At 39.2% G+C, this 16872-nt stretch overlaps 1 long non-coding RNA gene across 1 annotated transcript in view, besides 1 other annotated feature; it reads left to right on the top strand.

Moving 5' to 3' along the window:
• LINC00702 (long intergenic non-protein coding RNA 702) overlaps positions 1-16409 on the top strand; it is a 37037-nt gene extending 20628 nt beyond the window's left edge. The window contains exon 3 of the long non-coding RNA NR_108040.1: positions 16119-16409. This is a non-coding gene — a long non-coding RNA (long intergenic non-protein coding RNA 702). The remainder of the gene's footprint in view (positions 1-16118) is intronic.
• Positions 2924-3434: an enhancer, noted in NCBI's record as "NANOG hESC enhancer chr10:4262043-4262553 (GRCh37/hg19 assembly coordinates)". NCBI's record gives its function as "activates a minimal SCP1, AML or CMV promoter by ChIP-STARR-seq in naive H9 embryonic stem cells {active_cell/tissue: H9 hESC(naive)}" and the evidence as "EXISTENCE:reporter gene assay evidence [ECO:0000049][PMID:30033119]".
• Positions 16410-16872: the final 463 nt, after the last annotated feature.

The following is a 16872-nucleotide window of genomic DNA, read 5'->3' as shown; positions in this document are numbered from 1 at the left end:
GATGGATGATTTTCTTTAAAAGAACTAAAAGCAATAATCTTAGACATTATTGAAAACAACCAGGAGTTACAAGTTTGCACACTGTTATGAATATAAGGAAACTCACTATAGTGTAAACCAGCATCACTTCAACCCATCTTTTACTGTATGGTGTGGCTGTAACACATGCTTTATTGGTGACTTTCTTCTTCTTACTGTTAACCTTTTATGGCCAGAATAGTAGATCCTGAGGATTCAAAGCTTCTCCTTTACTTACGTGATGTATGCCCAACATCACAATTATCTCTCAACCCTATTTGAGCTTGTATATGAGGCTAGTCTCAACAACTTTTAAAAATAATAATCCCGTTTGCTGAAAACCTACCTTAAAGACTGGAACTTGATAATGACATAAAGTACTCAGTTTTTAGAGTGCCTCAAGTGCTACTGCTTTGTAATATGTTGAATGGTGGATGCTGTGCATGCTTTGGGTTTATTCTCTGTAGTCTAGACAAATGACAAAATGATGAGGAAAAGGCTTTGGCCGCCATAGGAAATGTTGAATGCAGACATACACCCAGAGAGCCCACCATCAATCAGTAGATCATGACAACATTTTTTCATTCATTCATTCATTCATTTATTCATCCAAAAATATTTATTGGACACCAACTACAACCTGGCACTAGATGTTGAGACTAGATGGGTGATTAGACATGCTTTTTGCCCTCATGAAATTGTAGACTACTTTTAAAAATATTCAGTTTACCATAATTATATGTTCTGGGAAAGTTGTTACCATATGGGTTTTTTTTTTTAACAAATCCTATTTTCCGTAGGGAATAATATACCTATTAGAAAAAATGGGGCAGAATAAAGTGAATATTTTTATGCATTTTAAGCACAAATTAAATATATTTTCTTCAAATGTATATTTGATCAATTGATATTTGATTCATACATAATGCATAAAATGTTCTTAATACTCTCTGAAATTTGAATAAAAACAAAGACATAATTGCATAAAAAGGCAGACAGTCTCAATATGTTATAATAAATAAATAATGTTTGCTTTACAGAGGCTCATTTATAAGAACAGAAGCAACTTACTATTTTCTGGGAGAAGAAAAGTCTTTTCTGAGAACAGCTGATAAAATTTCATTCCTTTTGAGTTTTCTGAACTTGTCCAATCCCTGTTGAAGTATATTTTTAAACTTATGACTAGATTTTCAATTCTACAGATAAGTAATACCTAGAAAATATATTTGCATCAATGTGCTTATTTTTGCCAGCTTTGACAAAAAAAAGCTGTATTTTAACTAAATAAAAATAAAAACCTTCCTTTTATTTAGGTTTTACATATGATATTCTTCATATGTGAAGCTGTGAATCCACCATCCCAGGGCTTGAATTTTTCTTCATTGGTCATGATGGATTTATGTCTATTTCTCCTCATCAACTGATATCAAAGAAGTTGTAGGATATCTCAGGGGGCTGACAAAAGGAATCTGTGGTTAAGAAACACAACACAGATTGTTGCCCCTGAAAGCTATCCTTGAGCTAGACCTTTGAAAAGAGTTCTTTGCCCACTTAACCACCCCGATTTACTTTCAATTATGCACTTAAAAAATAAAGTAAAATTTCTACAGTTGAAGGAAGAGTATGTTTTGATATAGTTTGGCTGTGTAGCCACCAAATCTCATTTCGAATTATAACCCCCATAATCCCCACATGTCAAGAGAGACCAGGTGGAAGTAATTGAGTCATGGGGCAGATCTTTCCCATGCTGTTCTCATGACAATGAATAAGTCTCATGAGATTTGTGGTTTTATAAAGGGGAGTTTCCCTGCACAAGCTCTCTTGCCTGCTGCTATGTAAGATATGACTTTGCTTCTCCTTGGCCTTCCACCATGATTGTGAGACCTCCCCAGCCATGTGGAACTGTGAGTCCATTAAACCTCTTTTCTTTATAAATTACCCAGTCTCAGATATGTCTTTATTAGCAGCGTGAAAACAGACCAATACAGTTTATAACCAAATATGCCCAGGCCACTTCCAGTGTGTGAGGAGGAGACACCAGCCTGTCGATGCCATGCCTGCACAGGGTCTCCACCAAGAAAGCACAAACGTGCATTTTTCACTGCCCAGCATTTTGCAATTCTTTATTTTTATATTAATCATTTCAATCTCGTTTTGCATGTCATTTTATTCATACATTTTAATTCTCCTTCCTTTAAAGTACGTCAGCTTATTCATTGCTATTATTATTGCATTTCATAGTCAATGCTTATCTAGAGTTATTTATCCATTTATTCACTCTCTTTTGCTTCTTTGAAATGTATTAGATCCTCTCATCTATCTCTTATCTCATTTTTTTTTCTTTCTCTGTTTCTCACTTGAGAAGAATATGTATGCTTCTCGCGTCAATTATCTTTTGAGTAAGGTCTCTAATCCTGACCATCCACCCATACCTGAGTTTTGACATTTTTGTATCAATTTGATATTCCTGTAAGACTGACCCACTTTTAACTTCCTCATATTCCAGACCTGCACAGCATGTTCATCTTGCTAGACATCCTCTCTACTTCCTTTCTGGCAGTAACATTATTTCAGTAGCCCACCAGCAAGTTTCCTTCTTTCTGGCTTTTCTTTTGTTTAAATGCTTTTGTTTACCTGCTGTCTTAATCAGGGGTGTCCAGAGAATCAGAAGCAATGGGGGATATAGACATATATCCCATATATTTCCTATATATGTATCTATCTATATAGATAGTTATCAATTTATATCTATATAGTTATCAATATATCTATATAGTTATCAATTTATATCTATCTATATATCTATATAGATAGAGATATTTATAGATACTAGCTAGATACAGATATATAGATATCTATATCTATATGTATGTATTTATTATGGAAAATTGGAGCTGGAGACCCAGGAAAGCAGGTGGTGTGACTGCAGTGCGAGGGCAGGAGAAAACCTTTGTTCCAGCCAAATGCTGGGGCAGAAAAAGGAAGGGGGCAGGGTAGAATTCTTTCTCCCTTAACCTTTTGTTTTATTCAAGTCCTTGAGGAATTGGATGATGCCCACTCACTTTGTGGAGGGTAATCCGAATCCACTTTACTAAATCCACCAGTTCAAATGTTAATCTCATCTAGAAACACCCTCACAGACGCTCCTAGAAGTAATGTTTAATCTGGGCACCACATGTCCCGATCAAGTAGACAATAGGATTAGCCATGCTCCCTGCTATGTCATATCATTCATGTCATTGCAATGCAATCACTGGTTTTACACAACCCTTCTAATGACCAGAATTTGGACTCCTTAATTTCAGAGACTTATTTCTCGTCTTGTTTTCAGGACCTAACATAGGGAAAGATGCAAAGTAGGCATTCAATGCTTTTTTTCTTGAATGAATTAATAAATGGACAAAGAGAAAAGCAAATAAAATATATGAACACCCAATCTTGTTAGCCCTTCTTTATAATACTTTTAAACTTTGTTTCTTGCTCTTCTTTGCCTCTCCAAAACAACTCCTGTTTGGATGACTACAAATAAGATAATTATGTGTCTCCTTCCTCCTAAATCAACCCTTTGCAGTTCATTCTGAAAATCTCAATCTGTATTATATTTTACAAACATTATTCTCTATTAGTGTCTAGAGATCTCAGAGCAATAGGAGCTCAATAATTATTTGTTACATGTTACCTAAGCTTCTAAACAGGCACTATATTACCCATAGATTTATTGGTAGCATAGTCTAATGAAGACTTTCAACAGAGAAAAAGAAGGAAGAGTGGAAGCAGCTTCAATCATTAAGAAAGACATCAGAAATCATGTCCTTTGCAGCAACATTGATGGAGCTGGAGGAATCTAAATGAATTGATACAGAAGCAGAAAACCAAACGCTGAATGTTCTTACTTACAACTGAGAGCTAAACATGGAGTACACATGGGCACAAAGAAGGGAACCATAGGCACAGGGGTCTAGTTGTGGGTGGAGGGTGGGAGTGTGAGGGTTGAAAACCTGTCAGTATATGCTGATTACCTGGGTGACAAAATTATCTGTACACCAAACTCCAATGACATGCAGTTTACCAATGTAACAAATTTGCACATATACCCCCTTGAATCTAAAATAAAAATTGTAAGGAAACAAAAACCAAAAGCTATATTCTTCGAAGAAGAAAATTACATTTCAGTGTTCAGTTAATTTCATTTTGAAGTTTTCACAGGAAAACACACAGCTTGCCTGAGCTTTTCCCTTCTTCAAGAAGTCTAGAAAATTGCCTTCTTTAAAAAAAGATGGAAATAGAGTTGACTTTTAATTATTTTCTTTTCTTTTCTTTTTGGTGGGGGGTGGGTGGGGAGACAGAGTCTCGCTCTGTCACCCAGGCTGGAGTGCAGTGGCATGATCTCGGCTCACTGCAACGTCTGCCTCCCAGGCGCCAGCAATTCTCCTGCCTCAGCCTCCCGAATAGCTGGGACTACAGGCGCCCACCACCATGCCCAGCTAATTTTTGTATTTTTAGTAGAGACAGGGTTTCACCATGTTGGCCAGGATGGTTTTGAACTCCTGACCTCAGGTTATCCACCTGCCTCGGCCTCCCAAACTGCTGGGATTACAGGTGTGAGCCACCATGCCTAGCCGACTTTTAATACTTCTAACAAACAAGTATGTAAACTGAAGATTTCCACTGGGATTACAGAAATTCTATAAGAAGAACTGTCTAATAATCTAGGCTTGTGTAGCTCTGGTAGACGTTTGTAAACTATAATTTGAAAACACATTAAAAATAATTATACATAACAATTGAGGAAGGCTTACTACTTAAATGCATTAATTTATCATCAAAGATCTTTACAAATATTAACTAATAAATTCTTATAATATTGGCCCTATGATTAAGCATTGATCATTTCTGTACTATGTTTCAAAGAAGAATGGATGAATACAAGTAAAAATACTCTCACAGAGAGAGGGAGGAAGAAAAGTGTTTTTGAGAACAATTTAAAATGGAAAATCCAAGTAAAGGTGGATTTGAGGACTTACAGATATTAAGTCACTGCAGCAATCCCTTTGGGAGTTATCAAGATTAAAACAAAGCTGGTTTCTTCATATCTGATAATAATCAGTTTCAATCTCTGCACAAAACACAAAGCAATAAAGCTCTTTTCAGAAGAAACTGAACAGACGAGAGGCTTTAGATGGAAGTTACACCTTAATGGGAAGTACAATTACTGCACAGGCCGCTCATTGCCAGAGAGCACAAGGGGTCTCTCACTTAGAAGCCTCAGCTTGCCCTGAAAGTCGAGGTAAGAGAATTTCTGTGGGCCAGCTATTCTGCATGTGGACCTTGGCAAGCATGGAGTGTTTGAGTGCAGGAATTTTGCGCCCTGCAACGTAGACTGTACGAGAGAATGAGAAAGGGAAAAGCAATCAAATACCAGCAGTCTTTCTTCATTGCGAGGAATATTACCGGTGGCACTGACAGCTATACCAGTGGCACTGACAGCTAGGAGAGCAGTCTTGAGCGTCTCCCTGCCGCCTTGCTAGCAGAGCAGCCATCAGAAGAAAGCACAGGTTCCTCTGCAGCTGAGAGGTCCCAAACACTTTTACATACTTGCATCCTTTTTAAGGCTGGGGGGTCCTGATATTTCCCCAACACTTCACAACAGGTACGGGAGCAGAACCAGCATCAGACTCCGGAGGCTGACCCCCTGAATCTGAAGATTAGACTCGCAGATCTCTGCCTCTGGTTTTCAAACATAGACAGCGTGAACCCAGAAATGTGATGTGATCCAGCTCAGAGCTTCAATTGCACACACACAAAGATCAGACAAACCAAATTCTTATAACTCCAAAGGTTAACGAGGAAACAATCATTTCTCTCTTGACCCAGAAAACAATGAAAATACCTCACTTGATATTGGTGACAAAGTTCCTCTCCATCACAATCACACAGAGTCACAGGTCGAGGGTCAGAAAATAACAACACAGAAGAACTGGTAATGACATAGCACAGTCGAAGGGGACCAATCTCCACTGCCCAAGGTGCTTCAAAGTCAATGAGATGTGTTTGACCTACAAAAAGCTAATGGCTTAGAGAATGTCATGCTGGGAATATCTAACAGAAGCTTTTAATTGCCTGTAAGATAAACCCTAGTTTCCTGCATGAAAATAATTTATGATAATGTGGTACTGTGTAATAATTTTAAAAACTGCAGGAATCTGTGGATCAGAAACATATACATTTAAGCATTCATTTCCCTTGAAGACATTGTTCGAAAATGTTTGCATAAAAAAAGATGCAATCACAAATTTACTTTTGCTTTGCTACAGAATATTGGCAAATTGCCTTCCATCGTGAATGTCCCCACATATTAACTATGAACAGCCTCTGCTGAGTTCAGCCATTCCCACACTCACAACAGGAGAATCAAATACCAGGGAATGGGAAGTGAATCTTAATACTGCTTCTGTTGCTAAAGTTCAGTAAAGTCAGTCATTGCATTATTTTTTTGTAAGTTCGTTATCAGCCATGTTTGGGAGATGATTATTTTGATTATGGAATACACAAAATGCCTTGTATGAAACAGAATGAAAATTTATCTTATGCCTGTTTGGTTTTCCTTTCTTTGGCAGGGAGGGGGTCAAAATACAAAGCCACGGAAATTCATTTAGAAAGAAAGATGCATGGAATTTTTAATTTTCTTTTGCAGACATTGTCCCTTTAACCATCCTGAAAGAAAAAAAATGTGCGTATTTTAAAATCAGGCAAAACTGTTAAATTAAGGGCAGCTCTAACCTTTTTTCCTCCATCCTTCTTCCCCTTCCTAAGTCAATCCAATCAATCCATCCTTAATCAGCCAGGAAGAAGTTGTTGAAGGTCTGGAATGAGCTCGGCCCTGTGCCAGCCACTGGGGAACCCTGGCCATGAAGAGCAGGGCTTCTGCCTTTTCGTATGTGTGTGCCAATTAGACCCGAACAGGGATGAAGAGTAAAGCATTTCTTTAAATTCTGAGTGCAGTCTGCATTAAATTTAGGGGATTTTCATGAAGCTTTCTAGAGGAATGACTCTTCTGTGTTCTTGGCTATCAAGATGTGGGTTCTTGACTATGTCATGGAGCAAGTCAGCTAACTCATGTATTTGCATATCTAAAATGAGATTCATTACAAAAGTGTATGTTAATAAAGAACACCATTAGCACTCAATTTTGCATTCCAATTGATGCTATTCAGGGGCTTACTAGTAGGCAAAGTACAGACCCAGTTTGTATCTTATGTGAGAGACAAGAAAATTAGATTATTAAGATCCAACCATATATATCTGCTGTGGATTTTAGGGAGCAGGTTAGAATAACTATGGTTAATGAGGTCATTACCTAAGGATATGCCATTAGATCTATTTTGTGTCCAGTGAACCAATCTTAAATATTTTAACATCTTTATTACAGAATGCACTATTATGATAATACCTTAAAATAATACTAATTCGTATCTACATGAAGTTTCCATTTTGGTGAGTCACTGCAATTAGATAAGTAATTGGAAGAAGATGGTCGCTCTCATCGGAAAGAAATTGTGCATCAGAATAAATCAACTTCCTCTTGTGTGCTTGTAAAAAGTACATGATAGACTTTGCTCTCTGAGCTCTACTCTGCAAGCAATGAAGGCATTTATGAACATGGTGAATTCTGTTGAGTAATTGAATTGCATGTAATCAAATAAGAAGTGATTAAGAAAAAGGGCAGGGGAAACGGAAATAACCAGGGTGGATACATGATATGGACATATAAGGGTGGGGGAAGGATAAAGGCCAAAATTATAACCAACTACAGGATGGTGCTGGGGCTGGCTGTCTTTCTAGTTCAGGGTCGCTTGTGTGAAACCTGCTCATACATTCTCGAAGCAGAGGTTCTGACTTGAAAAAAGAGGCTCAAGGGCCACACAACAACAGGTTTTCTTCAGTCTACCATCTCAATGTCCCCTTCTGGATTTGAGAATTACAAACCAGAGAACCAGTCTGTGATGGAAAGATTTCATATTCCTCCATAGGCTAAAAGGCTGATGGAGCTGTAACTGGTGCAGCAAATGCTCACACTGAGATTTGAAATCAGAAGCTGACCTTCATGCAAGAGCTCTGACTGTCTCTCATGCTGACCGCTGAGACTGTCTTGCATTCCTCAAAAGAGCTCTTCATTTGTCCCTGGCATCTAACAGAGACCCAGAGGGTGGATCTCACAGCATGGTCTAAAAATAGAATCTCCCATTTCAGAGAGAATAAAAATGTATGCAAGCAATAGGTATTCTGGTTTATTTGCAAAACAAAGCCTACTTGCCATCTCAGAAAAAGCTTTGCATCATTTCAGAAGAATAGTTCAGAGTGGAGATGAGCTTAAAATGCAGGAATAGAAGTGGAGGTTGGAAAACAAGGGAGAAATGGAAATCATTCCCAGGACTGGCAGAATCTCTATTTCTTCTTGACCCTTTGGGCCAACTGTGGATTCTAAATGACACTTAGAACAGTACTCAAAAATAAAAAATAAAAAACAAACTTCAGGAAGAACCAACATGCTTTGTTCTTTTTGGGAATTATAGATGAAGCAGAAAATTTTTGCTTAACATTTCCAACAAATTGTTTGAAGGGCACGGAGAGCTAAAGCTTTTTATGCACTACAATTTTTAAAAAAAAAAAAAAAACCTCCAGAGTTTGTTATTGTTCTATTTATTTTTTCTGTGTTTACCTCAAGTTGGCATGAACAAATTAGTAAAATAGCTTGCAAATTTGTGCATCTGTTAATTATGTCTAAGGCCCAGTACTAGAATATATGAATTTAAACAGACCCTTACATTTTAAGTTATTCTAGAAAGAAACAAAGAGAGAAAAAGGGAGGGAGAGAGAGGGAGGCTATCACATTATTATTCAGAAAATATTCAATTATATAAGAAATTGCAAGTCTTACACAGAAGAGTCCTTTTCCCAGAATAGGATTTATATTCAAATTTAACTATCTTAAAGTAGTTACTATGTGGTACAGTGGGAGAATATAAAAATTCTATTAAATGGGACACATGTTTCATTAAGCTAAAAAGCCTTCAAATAATATCAGTTTATTTTCTCTAATTTTGATCTCAAAAGATTGGAAATTCAGCCTGGATGACCCTTCCCTCTCTTGACCAATATGGCCATTTCCTAATATGGTCATTCCTAGACAGTGTGAGGAGTTGAAGAGTGCCATTGAGTGTGTGTGTGTCCATCCAGCTCACCTGGATTGACACTCAGGCTCGGATATTCACCATCTATGTAAACCTCAGTAAGCTGCCTGACTTCCCTGCACTTCAGTTTCCACAACTGCAACTGCAAACTGGGGACCATTTTAGAAAGTGCTTTGTAAGGTTTGTTATGGATTGACTTGTATCTCCCCCAAAACTCATATATTAAGGTCTTCAGAATGTGACTGTATTTAGAGATAAGGTCTTTACAGAGGTATTCAAGTTAAACTGAGGTCATTAGGATAAGCCTTAATGCAATATGACTGGTGTCCTTACTAAAAGAAAGAAATTTAGATACACACAGAGAGAACGCCATGTGAAGAGGAAGAAAGAGAACTGGGTGATGCTTCTATGAGTCAAAGAATGCCAAAGAGAGTCAGCAAACCACCAGCAGCTCCTGAAGAGGCTGCAGACAGCACCTTCTTCACAGCCTCAGAAGAAACCAACCCTGCCAATGCCCTGACCTTGGACGTGCAGCCTCCAGGACTGTGGGATGATGCATTTCTGCTATTCACGTCGCTCTGTTAGTGGGACTTTGCTACAGCAGCCCCAATAAACTAACACAAGGTTATTGTGAGTTTATAGGCTGAGAAACGTAAAAAACAGCGACAACGAAAATCCTTTAAAGCATGCCAGGAGCAATAAAGGTGAGCTCACATGATTGTTGCTATTAACACTATGCCTCCAGTCATTTTAAGTGTTAATGGTATATGTTCTGCATCTATTTCCTTAAAATAACATACCCACCTTAGGTTAGAACATACCTACCTTAGCTGAGAAGTCAACTGACTTCTCCAGCGGCTCCTTACCAATGTGTTTGATTGATAGTTTGACAAAACTGGCCAGTGGATTTAGTGGGAAAAGTTGCACAGTCATGGGGGTAGATGCTGTCCTCAGTGGCCTGGATCCGTTTTCTTTCTCAGGTTTCCCCTGATCAACTGGAGGACGGCACCACACAGACCGTGCTTGCACACACAGATACAAACACTGGCACCCAGCATGTACACCACTGTAGATAAGGCCCATGTACTCATTTCCTTTTCAAGAAAATAAGATAAAATGACATAGACAAAATAGAACAGAGAAGAAAAGCAATTTCTCAGCCCTCACTATACAAGGCCATGCAATTTCAGGTTACAGCAGATGCCCCGGCCCTAAAACATTTCATTATCAGCTACAAAGCATGAATGCTAAAGTGTATTTCCAAACTTCCCGCAAGAGCAGAGAGTGCTTTGGAAAGGCTGCTGTGTGCACCAGGGTGCCCAGGGCTTGTCCCCTCTCGGTGAGGGATACAGTCTCCTGTCTCCGTAAACATTTCAGAACTTCCATTAATGGGTATAGGCCATTGTCTCCAAGTAACCTCCTAATACTCAGCCGTGCATATCTTATGCGTCAAACACTTGTCTCAGAATCTCGGGCCTTATTGTTTTGTCTTTGAGATTTTTCTCTTCACCTCTCCCAAATTTTAACTTGCAGATGAACCCTCCACCACATGCAGCTGAGACATGACAAATGTCTTCCTTGTGGGTTACTGGAGGCTGACTGTTCACCAGACCAGCAAGGAATTCTGCACAGCCAGGGATTTCTACCTCCCCACCCTCCCATCTCTCCACCCAAACAAATGTGAAAATGACATTCCTAGAGAGGGCTGGGGCAGTGGCCAGTCTTCCTTCAGGATCATCTGTGGGGCTTGGGAAAAGTGTCTTATTACCCAAATTCTTGAACTCCTTGCATAACACTTCCCAAATCAGCCTTCTCTTATGAATCTATCTTTAGGCAAAATATGGTCTAACCATTTCTTAGATGTTCTAATTTAGATATTCAAGTAACTCAATGGCTTTTGTGGCATTTCAGCTTGACATACCAGCAACATGTGAGTGGTTTCTTTGTTTACATTTGTTACTGGAAACTTTAAATATTCAGTTATTGTGATAAGCCAGGTAGAATCCCCTTGAATACACTTATATTGTTGGACTATTGCTAGAAAAGCTCATTGTCATGGAAAACTGATATATTTTTATGCTTTAGAGAGTAAGTCACCATTTATATACAATAAATTATATATAACTATAATTTATTTAATATTGATTATATATGTTATAAGATCTACAGTAGACTCTTGAACAATTATATATGTAATCCACAATGATATATACTACAGTAGACCCTGGAACAACATGGATTTGAAATATACAGGTCAACCTACATGTGGACTTTCTTCTGCCTCTGCCACCCCTAAGGCAGCAAGACTAACCTCTCTCCTTCCTCCTCCTCCTCGGCCCACTCAATGTGAAGACCACAAGGGTGAAGACCTTCATTATGACCCACTTGCACTTAAAGAATAGTAAATATATTTTCCTTCCTTGTGATTTTCTTAATCTTATTTTCTGTTTCCTAGCTTACTTTATTATAAGAATATACTTTTATATATACATATATCACAAAATATGTATTAATCCACTGTTCATGCTATCAGAAAAGCTTTGGGTCAACAGTAGCTATTAGCAGTAACGTCTTTGTGGATTCAAAAGTTGTATCTTTGACGATGCAGGAGGGTGATTAGGATTCCTACCACCTTGTTTTTCAAGACTCGGCTGTAAACCTATATCTATATTTATTTTTAATACAATGTAAAATATTGTTTCAGGAGATGTGAAAAAATGCCTTTCTTATTAAATGAAAGAAAACATTTCAATGACAGCCCAATGGCACCTCTGTTGTATGGGTCGAGGTGGGTTCTCAGATACCCAAATGGTCTTCAGGTTTTGATTGACACATCAAACCTCTATTGAGCCCTCAGTATAGGCCAGGCTTTTTGTAGATAAAAAGTGAGCACTGTGAATAAAATAGCTCTTGGCTTCCTAGAGTTTGAAAAACATAGAAATTATAGCACCATATAGTGCTTATTTAACAGAAGGACAGTTAAAGTTGTTTATTTTAATTAATTTATGTAAATGCGTGTTTAAAGAAAGGACAGTGCCCAAGTACAGACTTGTAAATACACGTGACAAATTCAAAGAAAGGCAAGGTTCTTATGTCGATGGTCGTAGTGTGGATGCATTGCCAGCAGCTTTCTTTTCCTACCTCTGGTCAGAGAATGTTGTTTCATGCTCAAATTATTTATTAGTTAATTCAAAGGGTGGGCACCCAAGGAATTTAAAACACAGACAATTTGAGATTTTTCAGGAGAATTCATCTTCAACCTATACAAGACGTTATGTGGTAATGTTGATGTCCTAGGAAACAAGTGTGTACACATTGGACAAAGACTTCATGGATTTTACCTATGAAGTAGTTAAATTAATATTATGGTTTATTCAGTAGGCCTCTTAAAGATATAAAATTTAATTTATAGTTGTAAGTGAATATTTAATATATGATCATTACTGTAATAGAACTACTTGCCAAATAGGAAAGGAGCAGAGAAGCAATATAGTAATTTTGCTTGCCTTTGAAGTGAAAGTCTTTTTAGAAAAGGTGTGTCTTGAAGAATGAGTACACTGTAGAGTGGAAGGTTCGGCACATCCATAGAAGGGCATTTTAGGAAAAGGGAGGACAGCGCCCAGGCATGGACTTGTAAATACAAGTGACAAATTCAAAGAAAGGCATTCTCATGTAGATGGTCATGGTATAGATGTGTGTCTAACATCCTTTTTTTCCTACCTCTGGTGAGAGAATGTTCTGTTTCATTATTTCATTATTAGTTAGTTAAAAGGGTCTTATCCTACATGGAGAGTTAGTGGTTCTGGTTATTTTAAAGATATATTCAGTCTAATTCACCAAGTATTGGTTGGACACGAGTCTATGCTGGTCGGTTTGGATACAGGGAGGCATGAAATACCTGGGGATAATTTGGAGAAGAAAAGGATACGGACCAACTGATACATACAGACTTCCTTTATTCACAGAAAGTGAAAAAGAAGGAAAAAATATGTTTGGTTGATCCCTGTCTTCTATTTTCAATTACTGCACTAGGAGAAGATTAAATTAATTAACCACTGTCTTGGGTATAAGAATAGAAATATTTTTAATATGTTGAGAGGCTGGCAAACCATTTTAGCAACTAGTTAGAAACCGTATCACATCTACCTGGTAATCTACACCCCAAGAACAAGGGCAGTCCCACCTGAAATTCTGGAGGCCTGGACAGTTCACCCCGACTGTTGGAATTGGGGCTCTAGGGACCTGCCACCTGGCTTCAGCAGACTCACAGCCCTGGTCGGTCTGTAGAAGCTAGGGTCTTGTTTTCCACACTGGGCACTGCTGTATTTGTCTGATAACTTGCGGTTCTACTTTTGTTTGTCAGATTTCTCTATTAGTACCTTTTATGGATAAGCCCCGTTTTTTTTTAATTGAAGAATAGGCATTTTATGCAAAAAACAAAAATGCAGAGGCTGTGGAGGGTATCATCTTCTGAAGGAGAGTCACTGTGTTTTTTGGAAGAGAAACCAGAATAAGGGTGGGCAGCCAAGTCCAAGGACGGACGTCTCTGACTTGAGGCTGGCTCACTTTTTGTAAGACAGCTGCACCCCATTCCCGGGAACCGTCCTTCAGGGGTGCCATTAAGAGCCTGGGCATGGTCATGGCCACTCCACCTTCTTGGGTCTTGAACTCTAAGTTGGTATCCAGAGCACCAGGAGGAAGTCAAAGACCTGTTTGCCGTTACAACTTCTCTCTGTGCCGGTGCGTGGCTCTGACCTGCATAAAGATCGGCAAATGCCTTGAGAAAAACCCTGGGTTAGTAGCAGGGTCCTGCAAGTTCCACCTAGCTCAGTGGATCCCAATCATGGTTCTATTTGTGTTTGTTTTCTCCAAGATGCCCAAAATCTCTGCTTTGGACTTTCTGCTCAGAATTACCTGGTTTCTCTACCTCTAGCCCTGAGTTCACAACAGCCTTTAGGGAAACAGAAGTGCGTGGAATAAGTGGCTTATCTCTGCAGGCATTCTCTGTCTCTGCCCAGCCTCTCTCTCTCTCTCTCTCTCTCTCTCTCTCTCTCTCTCTCTCTGTCTCCCTCTCTCTTCCTCCTTCTCTTTCTCTTTTCCTCCTTGTCCTTCTTTCTCTTTCTCTCTTTCTCCCTTCTTTCCTCCCTTTCTTGGATCTTGGTCTCTCAAGTCCTGGCTGCTTTAGAAGTTCCCAATGCCTTCAAACAGATTTTATTTATTCAAAAAATCTGTTACTTATTCACTTACTTATTTATTTACTGTTTTTCTCTGCTTTTCTCGCTTTTCCTTGGGAGTATCGGTCCAGCTACCCTTCAGTAGCCTAACACAGAATTCTTCTTTCCATGTAGTTTAGCAGAACCAAAAACTGCCTGCCAAGTCCTGGAGATGGCAGAATAAAGCACTCTCCTTCTTATCTTTCCCTAGAGTCTTCTGGATGTTTTTCAACAAAGAATGAAGAACTGTTTTTTTTTTTTTATTATTGGTTTATGATTCCCGAAAGCCCTTCCGAATTTGTGTAATCTTTTAAGAACCTGGTTTGCCAGTGAGCCGATAGATAGCTATGTCAGAATAGTAAATCATCAATGACAAAAGGAAATGTTTTAAAGGCTCCCTTGAAATCAATGATTTCTGAATCAGTCCAGCCTCTTCTGTATTCAAGCTGCCCAATGTGAGCCATGTTCTCTTTGTGCAGGTGCATCCAGCCCCAAAGGTTCGGGGCAGCTGATGCTATGGGGCTGTTGTCAAGTCATTTTCACTCAGTCCAAGGGCATGGTTAGACATACCAATCTGTCACCAAATTAAGTGCTTTGGGATTTTTTTAAAGGTTGAGTTGAGAGGTTAGATTTTCTCCCTTTGATCTTTCATATTTCAAATAAAGATGAATTGGCAACTTTCATTTCTGATGCATATTTAGGTTTGCCTAGGTTTGGTTTATGCTGGTGTGAGTCTATGGATATGTGGTTTATGCTGGTGTAGGTTTAGATAATGATGTGGTCCCGTGTGATGTGAAGTCAGAGAAGCGAAGGACAGGACAAGTGGGCACAATTCTTTTCACTGAAACCTTTTATGTCAAGGTGCGATTACACGTAAGATGCATCCTCCTTTATGTTGGTAGAGTTTATTCACTTTGAGTTTGAATGCCACACACTTTATGTCTCGTTGAGAGGTCTCACCATTAGTATCTCTTTAGTGTGCCATCCAGGCCCACAGCCAAACGGCCATTCCCCTTTCTTGCCCAGCAATATTCAGCCTCTCTTTCCCTCCTTTAGAATAACTGGTCTTTGCTAGTCATAGAAGGATGCCATCATTGTCTTTCTGTGACAGGGCAGACGTTATTAAACACAGTGCTGTCTCTTATATATTAGAGACAGGGGCACTGCAGCTCATGAAATTTATGGACGCAGTGGCAAGTGATCTATAATATGCATGATGAGAGGGATATAGAATGGGCTCTTCCCTTTTCTTATGGGCAAGCCGCTGAATGTTTATTCATTGAAGCAAAGAAATACAACCGCATTTCAGCCATGCTCTTTCAGAAGCTTCCTGTAGGTTTCCTCCCAATTTATATCTTCTTTATATCTGACATTTGCTTTAGAAAGTTATAAAATTTAATGTTTCAAATATACAATGTTTATAGTTCATACCCCTCTTGTGTTTATCTGTGGTAGGTTTCACAGTGATTTGGATTCAAAAATTTTAAAGGATGCAGGGGTTAATTATCTTGTTGAATCATTTAGTACTCCATAACCAGGCACTGTAGCATGGGAGCATATTCTAATAGTACCTTAGTTTAATAATAAATGAACTTTGTTAATCTAATCCTGGGTAATTCAGGAAACAGAATGTCTTCCTCTTAATGTCTTTCCCTGATAATGATGGAGATTTATATTGATAAAATTGCTTCCACAGAAGACGAAGTGCTCCTGATGGCTGCTTTCAATCACTGGAAGAACCATGAAAGTGCGAGAGATTCCTCCCGGTGAATGAAGCCAGCTCACCACCGTCAAGGGCAAGGGATCAGCGTGTGTTCACATGGAGGCCTCTCACCGAGGGAACCCAAGGGGGACAGCACAGGAATTGCAGAGCCAGCACCCATGGAATGGGCAGGGATTTGGGTTTCATCCAACCAGCCAGTTGATCAATAATCACTGAATGTCTGTCACCCATTGCATCCTCTCCTGAGTAGTGAGGCTAGGCCAGTGCCAGTCACCTGGAAATCCTTACTGTTCTGCAGTTGACATTTTGAGAGGCAAGTCAAACAATATATATAAACAACTAGAATGTCTAGTGTGTTTCAGGAGGTAAATGCCGTGCCGGGATGAGCAGAAGGAGGATGGAGCCGTTGCTGGGCAGATAGACTGATTTTAGATAAAGCCGTCTGGGTGCAGGAAAGAAGACCTTAAAGAGGGAATGACATTTGAGCAAAGTCTTCAACAAACTGAACCCAGGAAGAAAACATTCCGAAAGTCAGAGAAAAGAGGAAGTACGAAGGGCCAGAGCCAGGGAGGACATTGGCGGAGATGCAGCCGCAGAAGCGTCAGGGGCCCTGCAGCCGCGATGCAAACAGAGAAGTGGGCGCATGGAGCATACGGGGCAGAGAACCAGCACCATCTGAATACACTGCTTAGGCTGTTGGGGCCATGGCTTCTCTCGATACCAAATA

The sequence above is a fragment of the Homo sapiens genome, chromosome 10 (assembly GCF_000001405.40).
Source record: "Homo sapiens chromosome 10, GRCh38.p14 Primary Assembly".
Lineage (NCBI taxonomy): Eukaryota > Metazoa > Chordata > Mammalia > Primates > Hominidae > Homo > Homo sapiens.
This window is presented reverse-complemented; position numbering and strand designations above follow the sequence as displayed.